Raw genomic sequence first — 22,153 nt, 5'->3', positions numbered from 1 at the left:
GGCAGATGGGAACCTGTGCTCCCCTGACCTTAAGAGCAGGGAGGTCAGAAGCCCTGTGGGCTGAGTAATCCTCTGAAGCACTTGCTGGCCTGGAAAGAATGTGTTTTTCAGGCTTAATCTGTTATGATATGTTATCGGAAAATGTAATTTGCTGTGTAAACAAGCAGCAGACTGGCCATTCTGCTGGCAGCTGCCGGTGCCCAGGGCCGCCTTCCTGCAGGGCTCCACCCTCTTGTTATCTCAGGCCCTTGACAGATTGCATGCTGGGAAAAGCCTCAAGTCTGCATAGAAAGCGCATTTAATCCTTTTTTAACTGGGTGAGGTTGCCTCTTGGGACCCCCAGTTGATAGATGAGAAGCACCTGACTTTGAAAAGGAACCGAACTCAAGCAGGCTGCATCCTAAGCCCGGTAAGCCTTTCTGAGAGGCTGTTTCACTTCTTTGAATCACATCGGTTCCTGGGAGGGTGCTGGAAATGTGCTTTGAAGCTGGGCCTGTGGGAGTGAAGGAGAGAGCAGAGCTTCCACCTGACACCCCCAACCCCACCCACACCTCCCACCTTGCACCCCACATCCCACACTTCCTACCCCCACCCCACAATCTTCACCCCAACCCCACCCTCTACTCCCACCCCACCGTACAGTCTCCAGCCCAATATCCCACACCTTCCACCTTTACCCTCACCCACCACCTCCCACTTCTCACCCCTCACCCAGTTCCCACCCTATACCTTCCTCGCCCTCCACCCCAAACCCCATACCCCAACCCCTCACCTGTACCCCAACCTCCACCTCCCATCCCCCGCTCCCAACCCCCACCTCCCACCCCTCACCCCTCACCCCCATCCCCCCTCTACACCTTCCACCCCACACCCCCTTCCCCCACCCCTCAGTCCCCCAACCCCCCACTCCTACACCCACAACCTCCCTCCTGTGTGCCTCCCACTTCTGGCTCCCGGGTTTCTTTCCTTCTTCCTCACTGTGGGGCAGGGTCCTGCCCTTGGCCTTCCTGGGCCCTGGTTTATTTACTGCAGCCTCTCCCAGGAGGGTGGCACGGGACAAATCTGACCCAGGGACCGCCCCCCCCATCTTCAGGATCCAGGGCCCTAGAGCTCTGGGTGGGGGGCAGTGCTAAGGAAGTCCAGGGGTCCTGGAAGAAGCATGGTCTTTAGCCTAAACTAAACCTGGGAGTGAATCCCGGCCCTGTCATTTGGGGCTCCCTGAATGCCATATCCCATCTTTCTGAACTCGTTTCTTCACACGTCTTGGGGATGATGCTGACTTTCATGCTGATGCATAGGTGAGGGGATCACCTTGGCTCATAACCCTTAACCTTGTAGCTGAGCAGCTTTGCTTCAAAATGCATTCTGAAACTTTTTTTTGCTTTCTCTTTTCTTACTAGTCTCAAGCAGACTGCAGAAGCCTTTTCCCCTTAACCTTAAAATAGACTCCACATCCCTCCCTCTCCGACTGTAAACCCTTTCCACATTATCTAACTGTGTGCTTACTTAGAAGTTACAGGGGTTAACCTTGAGACAGATCAAACCTGGAGACCCAGCTGCAAAATTTCAAATATCACCTTAAAGCCGTTCGTCCACAACCTGGTCATTGTTGTGGTTATGCCAGTCCACGCTCCAGGAGGACTGTGACCCGAGATAGCCACTGAAAAAAGAGACACAGATGTCACACCCCCATCACTCGCTTACCATTACAATGTGAAATGCCTCCCATATCAAGCTTTCCTTCTTAAACCCCTGCCCTCAGCCAACCTTCAAAGCAGTTTCTCTAGGTGTAAACCTGGCCACTTCCCCCTGTGGCTATGGAAATAAAGTGGCTTTCCATTCACTGCACTTGCTGAGTTTGCACACGGTAAGCAGCCCAGCCTGCACTGGGTCACAACTTCTCAATTGCCTCCTTCTGCGAGAGAGAGTGAGGTGCTCGGCCTCCACAAAAGGCCTCAGAGTAAACAGCATCAAATCTCCCCCTTGGGCAGCCTTCCCCTATTCTCAACCTCTTCAGCACCCTGCCTGCACGGATCACAATGGTTCTCACTACAGATGGAGCATCCCACTCACTGAGGAAGTACCTGCTCAGGAGGGTGTGATGACTGGGGACATGAAACCGGAAGCCAAGGAACACCCACCACACCCCTCCCCATGCTCCGTGCAGGATGTCCTGTGTTCACGCCAGGGCAGGCACAAGGAAAGTCAGCACGGCCCCATGTTCCCAGCAGCTCAGTCTCACCTGTGAGTGGCAGGAGTGCGAGGTGTGAGTTGGATGAGGGCTTTGGACCCCAGCGCTAAGGTGGGCTACGTGGAGCTCCCAGGATGCTGGGGTCACAGGCCCCAGTGAGCCTGCTGAAATTGTAGCAGAGACTGTAATATTTTATCTAGACTACAAGACATAAATTTGCTGTGTGTTCTTGCACTACCAACTTTAATAATAATGTCTTTGCATGCCATCTATTCTCTCATGGGCAATAACACAGATACAAACGGTCCTGAGTGCTCAGCGCTGCTGGGTTTTGGGGTCTGCTTTAGGGGAAACATTTCCAAAACCTGCCATCCGGTGCGTTTGCTCTTCTGAAAAACGTCCCCAGAACCAGCGGCCGCCTGGCCTCTGGGGCGCCCCGCAGGTCGTGTGAATACACATGTGGAGTGACTGAAACGGATGCTTATGGCTACTTTCCCACCCTGGAGGAGACTCTGCCATCTGGGTTTGGGCTAAAGTCGAGGTAGTGTGTGAATCTGATTTCCCCCTTTATGTAATGAGCTGTTTTCCTGATCTGTGGACCTGTTATGTCATGGCTTTGATGAACAAGAATAAAAAAGGTAAGTGAGAAAACAAACAAAATGAATATATCTGTAGGAATTCAGTGCTCTCGAAGAACTGCAACTCACTGCCTTCTCAAATCTCAGATACCACTATTTAAAGAAGATAGGATGTGGTTAAAAATAAGTAACGCAACGATTTCTGAGTGTCCATATTGGGTAACTGTTGACTATAAGCCTCAGGTATTGCTTCTTTTGTGTGTGTCTCCATTGTTGTGTTTAACCCAACTGACCAATTTAGAAAATGTAATATTCTTTTGATATTCCAAAAATTTTTGAAAATTAATTCAAAAATGATTAGGTATGATTTTCACTAGAAGGCAAATAACATCAAAAAGGTATTTTAATGAGAAACGTCATCATTAGATATTCTTTTAGATTTTTTCCTTTGGAATTGCAGATGTTTCTGAAAACAGCAAACTGGTATCATGATTTCAGAGTGAAAATGTGGGGACAGAGGTGGGCGGGAGGAAACAGCCTTGGTAGGAAGTGGACACAGGCCTAGAGCTGGAGCTGGGGAGCCTGCAGGCTCTGGTGTGGGATTTGTTTAGCAGTGCAGGGGCAGGTGCTTCTCACTGCCCCTCCCCTCACTCCACTCTCAGAGCCCCCACTGCAGATCTTTGGTTGGTGCTCTTCAGAACCTGTCACACTTTCCCAGGAAGAATTGGTCTCATTTTCTTAACAGTTTGCACAGGTCTTCCATGCCCTGTTGTGTTCCCCAGTGCGACATTTCTCTCATTGCATGTAGTGATCAGTTTAGGGTTTGTCGTCTGCTCTGTGTGGTGAGGCTGGAGGGCTCGAACTGTGTCTTGTCACTTTCTATATCTCTGGTGCTAAATCTCAAGGAGACGTACAATCTGTCTCTTTTTTAAAATTAATTGTTTGATCCCCTTCGCCCATATGGCCCAAAGTGACCTAGTCCATCATGAATTCCCCCAGGCCTCTGGTTCCTCCTTTTCCATTTACCCAGGTGCTCACCCCACGCACTGTCCTGTCCAGGAACTCTGATCTGCTCCACGTCCTTACTCAAGCCCTGTCACAGTGCCGTCTCTGACTCCCCTGATGTCACCAGTTGTGGTTTCCCTCATCTCCTCGGGTATTTAGGGATCACAGCATTCACTTGTACATTGCACTTGCCCCCCTGCCCTGCCCCCACCAACCGACTTCCTTCTCCAGGAACACAAATCCTACATAGTGAATTGTAAATTTTCAAGTATTACTCTGATCTGTCCTATGTCGGGGAGCTGGCTGGCGCCAGGGGGATGTGTGTCTGGCCCAGCTTTGGCACTGCTCCCTGTGAGTCTGGGTAAGTCCCCTCCCGACTCTGGGCCTTGGTTTAGCCCCTTGAAAATGTTAGGTTGTTTGCTTGATCACATCCGTTCTCTAGAGTTCTGTGTATCTGAAAATCAATGCAGCTGTGTATATTTTTCTTGATAAGCCCCGAGCTTATCCATGGGGCTCTGATCTTGAATAGCGCTTCAGTACAATATTTGATACAAATTTGAGCAAAATCCAGTGAGATATTTTTAAGCTATGTAAGTGTGATTTCTCCTCACTTCAACGAAGCATTATAATTTACATGACTATGTGTACATCTAAAGCGTCTGTCGTGGTTTTGACCTCTGTGACATTGTAGTCTTTACCAGGTGGTCAAAGCCATCCTCAGCTTAATGAAAACCAACTATGTGTTCCTAAAATTATGAAAGTTCAAAATGATAGTGGTCATTTCAGTTGACAGAAAAAACCGTTTGTGTTCAATTTTTTAGTCACCTCAGCAAATACTCTCTCCATTATCACTGCCTTTCTCAAAGCAGATCTTGAAGTGACAGAGCCTACTGTTTTGAATATAGTTGTCTGCCCTAATTTTTAAAAAGTCTCTAGTTGCAAAAATTACATTGTTGTTAAGGTTGAGAATGTATGAACTCAAGGCAGTCTGCAACTGTGGTGCCAAAGCTCCTTACATTGGTATTCAAACAATGTAACTTTGCTGTCAACATGTAGGATAGATACTTTCCCTCCCTCCCTCTCTTTCTTTTTGCTCTTTGTTCAGTGGTGGTGTTATGTGGATAAGGGAACACATTACTCCTTACACATCGTCTTTATACAACATACATTCAGGCTCAGATTCAACGGCTATCCACTGCTTGCTAACACCTTTTTGAGCATATGACATCTATCAGGTAGCTGCATAGGGTTTAGGTCTAGTTATTCATGGATTCTGCATAGGAGCTCAGCCTCTGATAAGATCTGTGACAATGCTCATCACTTACCTGTCTCTTCATATTCCTGTCTTGATATTCCATTTTTACTCTATAATTTTCTATCTTCATTTGGTTTTATGTTATTAAATACTTCATTGTAAACTGTTTCAACTCTTTTCTGGAACAGGGTGGCACAGAAACAAACCTCTAACTCTTCTCATCCTTCTTTTTTTCTTGGGGGAGGGTGGTTATTTCTGAATTTTATTTTTATTTTATTTTATTTTAAGTTATGGGATACATGTATAAGATGTGCAGGTTTGTTACACAGGTAAACGTGTGCCATGGTGGTTTGCTGCACCTATCAACCCATCACTTAGGTATTAAGCCCTGCATCCATTAGCTATTTTTCCTGGTGCTCTCCCTCTCCCCGCTCCACCCCCACAACAGGTCCCAGTGTGTGTTGTTTCCATCCCTGTGTCCATGTGTTCTCATTGTTCAGTTCACACTTGTAAGTGAGACTGCGTGGTGTTGGGTCTTCTGTTTCTGTGTTAGTTTGCTGAGGATAATGGCTTCCGCCTCCATTCATATCCCTGCAAAGGACATGATCACATTCCTTTTATGGCTGCATAGTATTCCCTGGTGTATATGTACCACGTTTTCTTTATCCAGTCTATCATTGATGGGCATTTGGGTTGATTCCATGTCTTTGCTATTGTGAATAGTGCTGCAATGAACACACACGTGCATGTATCTTTATAATAGAATGTTTTATATTCCTTTGAGTATAGACACAGTAATGGGACTGCTGGGTCAAATGGTATTTCTGGTTCTAGGTCTTTGAGGAATCACCACACTGTCTTCCCCTAACCAAATTTAAAACAGTTAACAATTTATAAAATAATGTATTCCTCTTTTCAAATTATCCAAATTCAATGAAACATTTCATGTGGAAACTAAAATTTGCTGGACAAAAATTGTACCTCACAGTTAACAGTCTGTTTCACTAACATTTGTGCATAAAACCTATATATCTGAAGGAAAAAATGCCTAAAAGCAAAGATAATATGAGGGTAGCCATGGGGAAAACAGAAATTGGCACCAAAATCCTTGAAAAGTATCCTAACCCATGCTGTTTCACGTTTACACTTTACTCAATTTACCTTTATCAGAGGGGCCAGAAACAATCAATTCAACTTCATTGACCCTATAATTTACAAAGGAATAGCGTATGTATTGGCTTTGGGGTTTCTAAGAAATAGTAAAAGGATAAATAGTGAATTGGTCACCTAATCGGGAAAGGTGGTTCCTTGGTAAGATGATAATTTCAGGTGTGAATGACCACAGTGTATTCCTCTGCCCACTCCTTCAGCCTCATAGCCTCAGGCAAGGTGGCCACTTCAATAGAACCCTGCAAAGTCAGAGGGCCTGAGTTCAAGCCCTAACGCCTTTGTCTCTCTGATTTACCCACTCTGACACAAGGCAGGCTTCTCACTTCTCAGAGTGTTTCCTCATTAGGAGTCTGATAATAATTCAGATATTACCTCCCAAGGGAAAAGAGGAAATAATATATACAACAATGCTTTATATAGTATACCTTGATATCCCTAAATCATTATATTTCTGGATGCTTTTCCTGAAGCAAATGTTTGGCTGGACTACCAAAGTCAGTAATTTCATAGGCTTTTCTCAAGTATTTGTCGTAACTACTGTCGTCTCCATTTTACCTAAAACATTAATTTTCCCATGAGAATACACCAGAGGTTCTATAATTGTACTGCTAGACTTAATTTCTCACCCTTTCCCCCTTAGTCTTTGAATAAAACAATTTCTATACATTTATTGAAAACTCTAAGTCTGAATTATTTGATAACATTAATGTTGATTTCAGATACAGATAGATATATTTCTTCAGCCAAGTCATGATATTTTGGTGTGGAAAACAATACTCCTAATTCTCTGTTTGTCCTTTCATCCTATGGTGAAAACTTCAAGCACACTATAATTTATTCATGCCTTACCGTAGTCCTTCATGCCTTTATACTCTTATTAAATGTCTTTTAAATTAATTTTTATTACATGGTAATACATGCACATAGAAAAAATTAAGAATTCCAAAGGTTATGAAATGAAATATAAGGTTTTGTGTCCTTCCCCACTCTTCTATTTCTACTCCCACTCTTAGCAGTTGAAGAATCCCTCCACAAAAATATCATGTCTATCTAAGCATGTCCACATGGATTTGGCTTCACATTATGGGCTCTGTCAACTAAAACTGTTCTGTGCTGTGGTCTTCTGGTCTAGCGATTATCCAGGCTGCATTTCCACAGGAGCACAGGAAATCTGCCCCACTCTGCCCAGCCCCCAACCAGGTTGTTCCCAACATCCCACAGAGAGTGCCCCCTACATCCTCCTCCAGGGTCCCCCTGGCCACCCTTGTCCCCAAAGCCCACCTGCCAGTCCTCCCACGTCCCACCCAATCCCCTCCCCCATCTCCCCACATCCCCACACCGCCCCTGTTCCCCAGACATCCCTTCCTGGTGGCCCTATATCCCACTCCAGGGTCCCCCCAACCCTCCCAACCCCTCATGCCCCCATATCCCCTGTGGTCCCCCCACACCCCCGTCTCGGTCCCTTCACATTCCACTGCAGGATCCTCCTAACACTCCCCTGTCCCCTCAGACCCCACTCCCTGCCCCCCCACTTCTCACTTCAGGGTACCCCCAAGCCCCTCTCCCGTCTCCCCACACGCCCCTCCTGGTCCCCTCTCCCCACTCCCAGCGCCTCCTCCGCAGGTGCTCACTGACCCCCGGCCTCGCCCGCTCCTCAGCTGCTCGCTGACCCCCGGCGGCCCCCACACCTCCGCAGGTGCGCACTGACCCCCAGACTGCCCCCTCCCCAGGTGCGCACTGGCCCCCGACTGCCCCCTCCCAGGTGAGCACTGACCCCCGGACCGCACCCTCTGCAGTTGCGCACTGACCCCCTGCCACCCCCTCCGCAGGTGGGCACAGACGCCCGGACTACCCCTTCCGCCAATGCGCACTGACCCCCAGATCGTCCCCTCCCAGGTGCGCACTCACCCTCCGCCACCCCCATCTCCGCAGGTGCGCACTGACCCCGGCCGCCCCCTCTGCAGCTGCACACCGACCCCCGGCCGCCCCCTCCCCAGGTGGGCACTGATCCCCCGACCGCCGCATCCCCGTGTGCGCCCTGACCCCGGGCCTCCCCCTCTTCAGGTGCGCACTGACCGCCGGCCGCCCCCTCCTCAGGTGAAGGCTGACCCCCTGACCCCCCCCCAGGTGGACACGGACCCTGGCTGCCCCCACCTCCTCAGGTGAAGGCTGACCCCCTGACCCCCCCCCAGGTGGACACTGACCCTGGCCGCCCCCACCTCCGCAGGTGAAGGCTGACCCCCTAACCCCCCCCCAGGTGGACACTGACCCTGGCCGCCCCCACCTCCGCAGGTGAAGGCTGACCCCCTGAACCCCCCTCCTCAGGTGGGCACGGACCCTGGCCGCCCCCTCCTCAGGTGAAGGCTGACCCCCTGACCCCCCCTCCCCAGGGGGACACTGACCCTGGCCGCCCCCACCTCCGCAGGTGCGCAGTGACCCCCGGACCCTCCCTCCTCAGGCGCTCGCCGATCCCGGGCCTCCCCCTCCTCAGGTGCGCACTGACCCCTGGCGGCCGCGGGAGGGAACTGCCAGATTTTGTCTTAAGCTCCTGGGCTTGGTCTTTTTTAACACTTTTCCCAACTATTGTTTTTCAGATTTGCCAAGTTGTTTCTCATTAAACCTAAACCAACTCTTCAGCCGCGCCGCCTCGGGGACCGTAAGCCCCGCTCTGGTGGACGCCTGGAGTCGCCGCCTCCCGAGAGTCCACACCCCATCTTGTCTCCAGCCTGCGCTGGGTGGGTATCACAGCGCACTATTGAATAATTGGTTCGGGAGACGCAGAAAAATTGTTCTCTTCTGGGGGTGGATTTGCTGGAAAATGCTTTAAAATATGAATTTTTAATGAGTGTATAAATGCCAGCCTCCCTCATGTCATACAGGAAGAAGCTGAGGTCTGGAGGTCTTCCTCTGAAGGAGCACAGTCCAGGGAGCCACAGAAGGCTGCCTTGAGGAGTGGAACTGCTTCAGGGATCAATGCAAAGTGTCCCCTGTCAGGAGAAAAACCACTCAGAGGAGGTAAAGGCCCATGAGCCATTCCTGAGCTGCTAGAACAAATTTCCTAAGATGGTTGAATAGCAGGAAACAGAGACAAAAACAAAAAACAGAAAACACCAGAGGCAGGTTACACAAGAAAGCTCTCCTTAAGCAGGGAACACAGAAAATAAACATAATTAGCACTACATTCCTGGAGACATATCGTGATTACACAGACATCAAACTCAACTGGGCTTCTTGTGTGGGATGCGCCCTTTTTAAAATTTTGATTGTATTTATGAGACATTTAAAAAGTTAAACCTCTCATAAAATGTTGGAGAAAAAAGATAAGGGCCTTGTGAAAGTTTATTTGAACATGTAAATGCAGCTCTTAACACCTTAAGGTAAATGCCAGTAACTTTAGTTAAGGGTTTGCACTGGGGAGAAGTTATTTCATTTAGTAAAAATAACCACAATCTTTTTCCTAATCTTCACACAATTAAAACAAATACAGCTGCTGCAACACTTTACACAATTCCTACGTACTAGAACAAAAACAAAATCTAAATGCACTTGTATTTATAAACCTTGGGTCAAGCTGTCCATAAAAAAATCCCCCTACTTTTCCCTGTAAGTTTCTAAAATGTCACTTACTATGTCCCAGCATCTGTAGTTATTTTAAAAATTTTAGAAAACTTTTTGTGCATCATCATAATTTCTATTCCCTGGCTCTTTGGCTTAGTGGCAAAAAACCAAAACCATCAAAAATTATGTTTATCTTGAAGTCACCCAGTTTGTCCCAAGGATGTAGACAGCGCTGCATCCACTGGCCCCCGGCAGTAGGGACATGTGAAAGATCGCAGCAGCCATGTGTCTATGCAGTCAAGGTGAAAGAAGTGTTTGCATGGCAGACATCGAATGGGGTCCCCACAAACAAATTCCAGTAAACAGATCACACACTCTGGCATCTCCTCTTCTGATTTATCTCTTCCAGGGTCATAAACTTCTTCAGGCAGACACTGTAGAAGGCTTAGTCTTTGAGCTGTTCTAACTTGTTCTTCTTCAGTCAGCAGTATTGCTAACAGAGGCTGGCCAGGTGCTGGGTGATAGACTGGAACTGGAGCTTGTTCCATATGTGGCAGTAGGGGCCTAAGATCCTGCCCTGTCGACGGTTGCACAATAGTGTCATCTGAGGTGGGGCGTCTCAGGCAGTTTCCCATCTTTGTAGGTGCAGGTGGGTGATCAATGCACTCTCTGACAGAGTTCTCAACGTAGCCTTAACTCACTGCTTTCACCTAAGGTTCAGATAAAAATAAAAAGTAAATTATTTAAACTTTAATTACACGTGACGCTCTCCTTGAAGATCACAGATATAGATATAGATTTACCTAGTTATATACATATCTATTTGTCTAAATAACTCTCCCAATAACCCTGCTGTTGGTGTTATTTTCAGTGTAAGAAGTGAGCTGAATGTGGGCTCAGAAGGCTTTAGTAACATGACAACATTTCAGAGCTCCAAAGTGGGTCCAGTACATCTTTTTCTTTTTCTTTTTTCTTTTTTTTTTTTTTTTTTTTTTTGAGACGGAGTCTCGCTCTGTCGCCCAGGCTGGAGGGCAGTGGCGCGATCTCGGCTCAATGCAAGTTCCACCTCCCGGGTTCACGCCATTCTCCTGCCGAAGCCTCCCGAGTAGCTGGGACTACAGGCGCCCGCCACCACGCCCGGCTAATTTTTTGTGTTTTCAGTAGAGATGGGGTTTCACCGAGTTAGCCAGGATGGTCTCGATCTCCTGACCTCATGATCCACCCGCCTTGGCCTCCCAAAGTGCTGGGATTACAGGCGTGAGCCACCGCGCCCGACCTTTGTTTGTTTTTTTATATGGGATCTCCCTCAGTTGCTCAGGCCGGAGTGCAGTGGTGCAATGATATCTTACTGCAGCCTCCAAATCTTGGGCTCAGACAACCCTCCCATCTCAGTCTCCCTAGCAGCTGGGAGTATAGACCTGTGCCACGTGTCTGGTAAGATTTTAAGTCTAGTCTAATTGTAACACTGCTCACACACTCACATTTCTAAATATGGTCACCTTGAGAAGTACATACTATACCTAGGTTTTACTGTTGATTCCAGATTTTAAAAAATCAGAGGCCACACCCCATAATCATAGCCTTCTCTCCTTTGGGGATGTTCACAGAATCATTTCCAATGTCCACAGTTTTCTACCGCAGGGACCCTAGAGTTAGTTGAACCTAGTTTCTTTCCATTGGCCCTCAAATTTCATCATTTTCACTGCTTAGCTTAATCACCATGACGCTCTTCAATATTGACCAGCAGCATCAAAAATTATCTGTCCATTTGACCTCTTACTACCTCCTACTATCTGATCTTACTCTGGATCTAAACACCAATCTTAGTGGCTTCATATTTTTTCCTATTCGGCAGCCAGTTCTGACAGAGAACATGACTAGGAGATTGATCCTGGCCTAATACGGACACACAATACCCAGTAACTCTCAAATATATCTTGCAATCCCACAGTATCTTGCTATCTAAATTATTCTTTTAGCTCCATGAATACATCAAATCTACTCCATGACTTTTGCATCACGCACATACTTACCTTTATCATACTTTACACAGATGGAATTTCCTCCTCCTACCAAGATGAATTAAATTTTCTCACCAATTACCTTAGCTCACTGCCATGAAGTCTGCAGTTCTACTTTAATCCATACCCATCCATTACTACTTCTTGCCTATAAAACTGAAATATTTTCTTCCCTTGGCATGTTTAATTGATTCAAATTCAAGCTTTATCTCCTGCCCTTAGGAGCTTCATGTTACCACTTATATAGTAAATCTCCTTTACCAGCTCCTTCTACTCTTCCCAATCTATCATCATGAAGCTTTTGAAACAAAAACCACATCTAAACCTATTTTCTCTCTAGTATCTGCTTTCCTGTGCTTTCCCTCATAGTTGAACTGAAAATTGAAAGTCAAAATGGTAACATTTCCTCATCCCCTCTCACCCTTTGACTTACTGAGACCACCAATGGTCTGTTCATTAATATGTCTTGCCAACAACACCAATAATTGTTCCATAAAATACCTAATGGGTGTTCCTTAGTCTTTTACTTGGAACAGAAAAGAACCAAACTATTCTCTCCTTTTCATACTACTGTTTTAAAATTACTCTGTAGTCACTACTCCCCTAAGTTCTCTGCAAATAGCACAAATGATATTATTTAAATGACCCAGAATTCCATCCTAGACTCTCTTCTCTCTTCTTTTTGTACCCTATCTTGGCACTCTCACACATGTATTCAATTGCTTCCATTTCTTCCGTTGCTATCTCCAAACTGACAGTGACAGATTCTTGTCTGGATTCTACTTCTGAGATCATTTACACTTGCATAGTTGCAGTCAATGAAATGTCTGAGGATATTACCTCCTCCACAAAACCATACAAAAATACACCCCCTAGTCTCCGATATTTCTTAATGACAACACCAACGCATCCACGAACCAATCTTTTACAGGGCCCCTAAGAATTGCATAATCAAAATTAAGCATGACTTTATCTGTTCCCTCTTTACTATCAGCCTTCATCCACATATACCTCCACCCCAATACACACAAACACATTTTTTCTTCATTCTCCCTTTCCCACAGTCTAAACTTATATGTCACTCCTCGGAGAACTATTCTCTGGGTCTCAGCTTATTATACTTATTTATGTACTGTATACTTCCACTAATCTAATTGCAGAAAATCAACTTTTTTTTTTTTTTTTTTTGAGACACGGTCTCTCTCTTTACTCTAGGCTGGAGTGCAGTGGCATGATCACAGCTCAGTGTAACCTCCATTTCCTGGGCTCAAGGTAGTCCTCCTGCCTCAGCCTTCCAAGCAGCTAGGACTATAGGCATGAGCCACCACCATGCCCAGGTAACTTTTAAATTATATTTTGTAGAGATGGGACCTCAGTATGTTTGCCATGCTGGTATCCAGCTTCTGGCCTCAAGTGATCCTCCCGACTCAGCCTTCTAAAGTGGCAGGATTACAGGCATGAACCAACATGCCCAGCCCAGAGAAATCAACTCCTGTGTGCCAAGATTAGGTAAGTTTTTCTCTGACCATTACATATGAACTAGAATTCGAGAGAAATTACATGTCCACAGTAACCTAAACTCCTCTCAGAGAGCTTGCCACCAAATACCTGTAGTCCAATTAAACAATAATTTTCACGTTAAAATTTATTGACGAAAATAAATGGGATGCGTCTGCCCTGGTAAAAATTTCTCCAGTACTCACCAGAAACCAAACAGGAAAATCCAATGGAGCCAGGTCTTTATGGAGGTCGCTGTCACCACACTCCGGTGCTCAGAGCTTCTTCCACTCTCCTGGGAAAGCACCATGTGAGTGGTGAGCCCTCTTTTTATGCAGTTGATAACCTCATCAATTATATATGCTAATCAGTCCTATCATCTCATCAACTGTATAATCCAAGGGACCCACCTGAATAACTTGGCTCCTGTTAAGCCAAATCTAATCAAGGCTAGCCTCTTTAGCAAAACATTTCTCCTCAGGTAAATTGTGTAGATCCAATTAAGGAAAGTCAATCATGTCCCCAGATTCTGCACCCAAGTTACTCAGATGTGGTGACAGTGACCTCCATAAAGACCTGGTTCTATTAAATTTTCCTCTGTTTGGTTTCTGGATTTAGGGCCACAGGAAATCTTGGGATTGCAGTTTTGCTTACTGCACGTAAACCTTGAACAAGTCTCCAACTTGTCCATTAGATTTTTGATTGGTAGGATTGGAATGTTGTAGGGAGTAGTGAAGGAATTATAAGTCCTCATTTAATTAATTCCTCTATAATTGGTGAAAGTCCCTGAACTGCCTCCAATTTTAGTGGATATTGGGAAAATTTAGGCAATGGCTTAGAATAGTCTATTTGATATTTTATAGGTTTAATTCTTTTAATAATTTAATTAATAATTTTGTGTTCTGGAGAATCCGGAAATTCCAAGATGATTTCTCCCTTGAAACAGAATGTTATGTGTTCTCTCAACTCAGAAAGTAAATGTCATTCCATCACATTTCCTGGGGCAGTATCACATAGTAGGAAAGCATGTTTTTCTAAAATGATCCAAGCATGATATGGACAGGTTGAGACATGGGGATTCCCTGGATAGGATTTGAAACACCCATCACAGAAGTATTTTTTTACTCAGAGGGATACTTTGATTTATTAGAGTTGTTATTAAAGTGAATACAGTGACTCCAGTGACCACAAATAGTGTACAAGAATCTTCATCATCTTAGTATTAGTTAATAGCTAAGATTCGGAAGCAACCTGTGTCCATCAACAGATGAATGGATAAAGAAAATGTGTTATGTATACACAGTGGAGTACTATTCATCTATAAAAAACTAAGAGATCCAGTCACTTGCAACAATATGGATGGAACTGAAGATCTTTATATTAAGTGGATTAAGCCAGGCACAGAAAGACAAACATCACATGTTCTCACGTATTTGTGGGAACTAAAAATGAAAACAATTGGGCTGGGCGTGGTGGTTCACAACTGTAATCCCAGCACTTTCGGAGGCTAAGGTGGGGGTGGGGGCAGATCACGAGGTCAAGAGTTTGAGACCAGCCTGGCCAACATGGTGAAACCCCATCTCTACTAAAAATACAAAAATTAGCTGGGCATGGTGGCGGGCACCTGTAATCCCAGCTACTTGGGAGGCTGAGGTAGGAGAATTGTTTGAACCCAGGAGGCGGATGTTGCAGTGAGCCAAGTTCACGCCATTGTACTCCAGCCTAGGCAACAGGGTGAGACTCTGTCTCAAAAAAAAAAAAAAAAGAAAGAAAGAAAAGAAAACAATTGAACTCATGGACATAAAGAGTAGAAGGATGGTTACCAGAGGTTGGGAAGGGTAGTGGTAGAAGGGGGAGCTGGCAGGGGGGAGGTGGGAATGATTAATGGGTACAGAAAATAGAATGAATAAGACCTAATATTTCATAGCACAATAGGGTGACTATAGTCAATAATAACTTAATTGTACACTTAAAAGTAATTAGAAGAGTGTAATTGGATTGTTTGTAACTCACAGGATAAATGGTTGAGGGGATGCATTACCCCATTCTCCATGATGTGCTTATTTTACATTGCATATCAGTACCATAACATCTCATGTACCCCATAAGTATATATACCTACTATGTACCCACAATATTTTTTTTAATTTCAAAAAAAAGGTATTACAGGAAGTTCCTCACCAGAGAATTCCTCAGGTCCTCCACCCCTGCAGGGTGGATTGTTGTCAAACCCTCGGGGACTTTCTCTGATGGGAATACTGTGTGGCCCAAAAGGAGCCAGCCTATTAGAGGACTACTCCAAGAGCAGATGACATGTCTTCCAGGGACCTCATTGTTTACAATGAATGCAGCCATCTCGAGGTATAGAGCTTACCCAGGTTTCCTTTGTTTAGGACATATCAGTTTTGAGTTATAACAGATATAAGGAGGTCTGTTCCTGTAGCTTTTGTACTTGTAAAGATATTAGTTTATTAGCCTGTTTATTCTTTCTTTTAGCATTTTTTATGATTCTAAAAGTCTTTCAAAGCGCTTACTCGTAGTGACCAATTGGGTCATATCAATGACTTTCTATCCAATCTTATGTTTTTTAATCTGGTCTCCAAGCTCTGTTAAGAGTTTATTCATTTAAAAGGCTGTAAGGCATTTCAGTTGTTTCATTATGTATTTTAAGCCTAGAATGGTTTTATATATAAGATTTTAGTCCAGCTCTGTAATAAGGAACTGGTTTATCCTTTTTGTTTGTTTTCATGACTCGATAATGGACCAGGCAATTTTCTGTGGGAAGACAATGGGAATAGCATTTAAGAGGGTTTTTTTTTTCCTGATATCCTTTGTGCCACTCCTGTAGGAGTAGCTTTTGAGGGAACAGTAATACTGTTATAAATTTTGTTTTTTAATCTTTTTGAGACTGGAGTGCAGTGGCACAATCATGGCTCAGTGCAGCCTTGACCTCCTGGTCTCAAGCCATCCTCCCATCTCAGCCTCCTGAGTACCTGGTACCACAGGCACATGCCACCACATTCAGCTAACTTTGTTTTCTGTTGTAGAGACATGGTCGCACTATGTTGCCCAGGCTGGCCTGGAACTCCTGGGCTCAAGAGATCCTCCCACCTCAACCTCCCGAAGTCCTGGGATTACAGGTATGAGCCACTGTGCTAATCCTAACCACGGTTAAAATCTGACAAAAGTTCCCAATTCATAAGAAAATTTGGTTATATTTATTATATGTAGCATTTTATAACAACCAGAATCATGTCTTACAGCTTTGCATCAGGTCCCTGAGATCTTTATAAGTTGTATATAATCTTAGAATACTTACATTTATAACATATTTATATGAATATAACTTTAGAAGATATTTAACAAAACAAAAGTATGGCTGACAACAGATTTTCATCAATATATATGATTTTTGGAACATTTATGTCAGGAACATTTATATCAATAACATACCTATAAGTGTAACTGAAAGATCTTCCATCACTTATTACTTGATATCCTTTGTGCCCTGTGTGGTAAAATGTCGCCCATATATTTTACCAGATAAGTCTAACCATTTAATCTCTATAAGGTAAGAGGCAATATTTTTGAGGGTTTCCAGGGGTCAACCTTCAAAATCCCGAAGTTAGTTTTAGGCCAAAAAGACTTAATATAGGTTTTTAATCTTGAAGAAACCTGCCAAAGATGTCAGAAGACTCAAAACACTCAATCAAACAGAATCAGGGGTCACTGTTAAATAATAGCAATACAGAAGGTTACATAGATGTAAAAACATTAACCCTTTTATAGCTCTTTTCCTAACTAATCTAAAACCCAATTAAGACAAGGAAGGAATTGCCTTGATAACATGTACAATCTTTATTTTTGTCTTTTAGGCTAGTTGTGAGAAAGGTAAAGAAAAATTTCCTATAGTGTGATTGCTTTTGTTTATAAGAAACCCATTTAGATTTCTTGGAAGTTAAACCTAATGAAAAGGTTACTTGAATTTCATCAGACAGGTAGACAGTGTCCACGGCTATGAGTATATAGAGAAATGCAACCGAAAAACTGGTACCTTGGACAGGGAAATCCATGGCTGTTAGTAACCACATGAAAAGTTACTGGCTGGGCGCGGTGGCTCGCGCCTGTAATCCCAGCACTTTGGGAGGCCGAGGCGGGTGGATCACAAGGTCAGGAGATCGAGACCATCCTGGCTAACATGGTGAAACCCGGTCTCCACTAAAAATACAAAAAATTAGCCGGGCGTGGTGGCGGGCTCCTGTAGTCCCAGCTACTCGAGAGGCTGAGGCAGGAGAATGGTGTGAACCCGGGAGGCGGAGCTTGCAGTGAGCCCAGATCGCGCCACTGCACTCCAGCCTGGGCGACAGACCGAGACCCCGTCTCAAAAAAAAAAGAAGAGAAAAGAAAAGAAAAGTTATCTGACTGTATGGAATAATTTTGATATATCAAGAAAAACGGGCCAGCTTTGGTGGCTCACGCCTGTAATCTCAGCACTTTGGGAGGCTGAGGTTGGAGGGTCTCTTTACCCAGGAGTTTGACATCAGCCTGAAACATAGTGAGACCCCATCTCTATGAAACTAGAACTAAAAACTTAGCCAAGCATGGTTGGTGTTGTGGGAGGGACCAGGTGAGAGGTAATTGAATAATAGAGGCAAGTCTTTCCCGTGCTGTTCTTGTGATAGTGAATAAGTCTCATGAGATCTGATGATATTATAAGGAGGAGCTTCTCTGCACAGCTCTGTCTTTGCCTGATGCCATCCACCTAAGATGTGACTTGCTCATCCTTGCCTTCTGCCATGATTGTGAGGCCTCCCCAGCAAGGTGAAACTATAAGTCCATTTAACCTCCTTTTTTTTGTAAATTGCCCATCCTCGGGTATGTATTTATCAGCAGGGTGAAAATAGACTAATATTATAAATTGGTACCAGTAGAGTGGGATGGTGCTGAAAAAATAGCCGAAAATGTGGAAGCGACTTTGGAACTCGGTAACAGGCAGAGGTTCTAACAGTTTGGAGGGCTCAGAAGAAGACAAGAAAATATGAGAAAGTTTGGAACTTCCTAGAGACTTGATGAATGGCTTTAACCAAAATGCGGATAATGATATGGACAATGAAATCCAGGCTGAGGTGGTCTCAGATGGAGATGAGGAACTTGTTGGGAACTGGAGCAAAGGTGGCTTTTGTTATGTTTTATCAAAGAGACTGCCAGTATTTTGCCCCCGCCCTAGAGATATGTGGAACTTTGAACTTGAGAGGGATGATTTAGGGTATCTGGCAGAAGAAATTTCTGAGCAGTATATCATTCAAGATGTGACTTGGGTGGTGTTAAAGGCATTCAATTTTATAAGGGAAGCACAGTATAAAAGTTCAGAAAATTTGCAGCCTGGTGGGTTACTGACACAGTGCAGGCCCCTCCCACTGCGGCAGCTGAGCCTACTGGCAGGGCAGCCATAGTGTCACCACCTTATGTGACACCCACCTGTCTGACTGGCCGACCAGTGGGTTACAGGCCCCCCCTGTGCAGGACCCACCCTTTGTGGCAGTTAAGTCCACCCAAGCTGAGGTATCCTGGCGAGATCTTCACCTGGGTCCCATGGGGAAAATCAGTCAGCACCATATGTGCTCTGGTGGACAGGTGAGTGTCCCTTATGCCCCCATCGCCATAGTATCAGGAGAACTAGGAAATGAAATAAACGTCTTTGGCTAGAGCATGTCCTTGTCACCCCTTCCCTGAGTACTTTCTCTTCGGACTCCATTGTGTTGTTCCATTAGTTATTTTATTTTCAGTCCTAAAATGTGTGCAGTCTTATGTTTGGTTTTACCTTTCTGTTAATTGTTTGGGGACGATTAAGGCAGGATACTTGGTTGTGAGAGATCCCCACTGTTTTTACTTCGGGATGCTAGAGTCATGTTGTTTGCTGACCCCAATTTGGTCTTGGATTGACTGTTGGCCGCATTCTGGGTGCCCCAGGGTTTTCAGGATTTGGTGAAGGGACCCTTGTTGGCTGAAACTTGGGCCTTCTGAGTTTTCAACATTGGTATTCTGGCCACCCCCCATATGATCTGGAGTATTTGTGTTGACATTCCCTCTAGGATTCTGAGGGATATATGAGTTATAGCCCTCTCCCTAGGGGAGTATTGGTCTTGCCCTTTTCTGCCCTATAAGTTAGAAGTATTTTCCTAATAGCAAGCTGCTAACCCTTCCTTTATGCTGTCTTCCAACTAGCTTGCTCAAGCCACTCTTGGTCCAAGGAAATGGGAATTCCCAGGCCCCTGGCATAATGGAGAGCCACCTACAGTGGTAGGCAATTGGCCACGTGAATATTTTTTTCAGTGTCTCTGCTACGGGATAGGTTACCCAGCAGGTCAGGGCCTCTGAGGTCTCCCCTTGGGCAGCACTGTTTACCTCTTCCATTTCTCCCTTCCACAGTCCCTCCCTTCCATTTTTGAGCCCACCTCTCTACCAACCGTTGCTGTCTGTGGCATTTAGGTTCAAAATCCAACTGCCCATTTGAAGCTCATAATCCACTTTTTAAAAATTATGCTTTAAGTTCTAGGGTACACGTGCACAACCTGCAGGTTTTTACACAGGTATACACGTGCCATGTTGGTTTGCTGCACCCATCAACTTGTCATTTACATGAGGTGTTTCTCCTAATGCTATCCCTCTCCCAGCCCCCACCCTTGTCAGTCCCCAGTGTGTGTGTGATGTTCCCCACCCTGTGTCCATGTGTTCTCGTTGTTCAACTCCCACCTATGAGTGAGAACATTTGGTGTTTTGTTTTCTGTCTTTGTGATAGTTTGCTTAGAATGATGGTTTCCAGCTTCATCCATGTCCCTGCAAAGGACATGGACTCATCCTTTTTTATGGCTGCATAGTATTCCATGGTGTATATGTGCCACATTTTCTTAATTCAGTCTGTCACTGATGGACATTTGGGTTGGTTCCAAGTCTTTGCTATTGTGAATAGTGCCACAATAAACATATGTGTGCATGTGTCTTTATAGTAGCATGATTTATAATCCTTTGGGTATATACCCAGTAATGGGATCACTGGGTCAAATGGTATTTCGTGTTTTAGATCCTTGAGGAATTGCCACACTGTCTTCCACAATGATTGAACTAATTTACACTCCCACTGACAGTGTAAAAGCCTTCCTATTTCTCCACATCCTCTCCAGCATCTGTTGTTTCCTGACTTTTTAATGATCACCATTCTAACTGGTGTGAGATGGTATCTCATTGTGGTTTTGACTTGCATTTCTCTGATGACCAGTGATGATGAGCATTTTTTTCATGTGACTGTTGGCTGCATAAATGTCTTCTTTTTAGAAATGTCTGTTCATATTCTTTGCCCACTTTTTGATGGGGTTGTTTTTTTTCTTGTAAATTTGTTTAAGTTCTTTGTTGATTCTGGATATTAGTCCTTTGTCGGATAGGGTAGATTGCAAATATTTTCTCCCATTCTCTAGGTTGCCTGTTCACTCTGATGGTAGTTTCTTTTGCTGTACAGGAGCTCTTTAGTTTAATTAGATCCCAATTGTCTATTTTGGCTTTTGTTGCCATTGCTTTTGATGTTTGAAGGGGTGGCCTTCCCCTCCACACCTGTGGGTATATCTCACCAGGTGGGATGAGAGATTGAGAAAAGAAATAAGGCACAGAGACAAAGTATAGAGAAACAACAGTGGGCCCAAGAGACCGGCACTCAGCATACAGAGGACCTGCACTGGCACCGGTCTCTGAGTTCCCTCAGTTTTTATTGATTATTATTTTCATTATCTCAGCAAAAGGAATGTGGCAGGAGAGCAGGGTGATAATAAGGAGAAGGTCAGCAAAAAACATGTGAGCAAAAGAATCTATGTCATAATTCAGTTCAAGGGGAGGTATATGCCTGGATGTACACGTGGGCCAGATTTATGTTTCTCTCCACCCAAACATCTCAGTGGAGTAAAGAATAACAAGACAGCATTACTGCAAACATGTCTCGCCTCCCACCATAGGGGGGGGTTTTCTCCTATCTCAGAATTGAACAAATGTACAGTCGGGTTTTATACTGAGACATTCAGTTCTCAGGGGCAGGCAGGAGACAGTGGCCTTCCTCTATCTCAACTGCAAGAGGCTTTCCTCTTTTACTAATCCACCTCAGCACAGACGCTTTACAGGTGTCGGGCTGGGGGACGGTCAGGTCTTTCTCATCTCACGAGGCCACATTTCAGACTATCACATGGGGAGAAACCTTGGACAATACCCAGCTTTTCAGGGCAGAGGTCCCTGCAGCTTTTCGCAGTGCATTGTACCCCTGGTTTATTGAGACTAGAGCATGGCAGTGACTTTTACCAAGCATACTGTTTGTAAACATTTTGTTATCAAGGCACATCCTGCACAGCCCTAGATCTCTTAAACCTTGATTCTATACAACACATGTTTTTGTGAGCTCAAAGTTGGGTCAAATTGGCTGGGGCAAAGTTACAAATTAACAACATTTCAGCAAAGCAATTGTTTAAGGTACGGGTCCAAATTGAATTTCTTATGTCTTGCCTTTCTACATAGACACAGTAATAGTCTGATCTCTATTTCTTTTCCCTACAATGTTTTAGTCATGAAGTCTTTGCCCACGCCTATGTCCTGATTGGTATTGGCTAGGTTTTCCTAATCTACTTTTGTAACACCTTGGCAACTATAGAAAGTGGGAAATGAAAAGGGAAAAGTAAGTATGCATTTGCTAAACTTAGGCTAACTAAAACCCCTTGTAGTGAGCCTTACTAGACATGGGGACAACAGTAAGCATTCAAAAAGACTCGCCACTCGGGTGTCATTTAGGCCATTGGAGTAGCTTCAAATTATTAGACAGGTTGAAAAAGAAAAACCTTGTTTACTA

At 44.7% G+C, this 22,153-nt stretch overlaps 1 long non-coding RNA gene across 1 annotated transcript, besides 1 other annotated feature; it reads left to right on the top strand.

Moving 5' to 3' along the window:
• Positions 241–390: an enhancer, noted in NCBI's record as "active region_26939". NCBI's record gives its function as "activates an Ori minimal core promoter by ATAC-STARR-seq in GM12878 lymphoblastoid cells {active_cell/tissue: GM12878}" and the evidence as "EXISTENCE:reporter gene assay evidence [ECO:0000049][PMID:35858748]".
• On the top strand, positions 295–16,370 carry LOC101927566 (uncharacterized). The gene is made up of 5 exons (XR_245320.4): positions 295–409; positions 8,794–8,934; positions 9,079–9,214; positions 13,141–13,287; positions 16,323–16,370. It is a non-coding gene; the product is annotated as an uncharacterized LOC101927566 (long non-coding RNA).
• The last annotated feature ends 5,783 nt before the right edge of the window (positions 16,371–22,153 follow it).

The sequence above is a fragment of the Homo sapiens genome, chromosome 8, assembly GCF_000001405.40.
Source record: "Homo sapiens chromosome 8, GRCh38.p14 Primary Assembly".
Lineage (NCBI taxonomy): Eukaryota > Metazoa > Chordata > Mammalia > Primates > Hominidae > Homo > Homo sapiens.
This window is presented reverse-complemented; position numbering and strand designations above follow the sequence as displayed.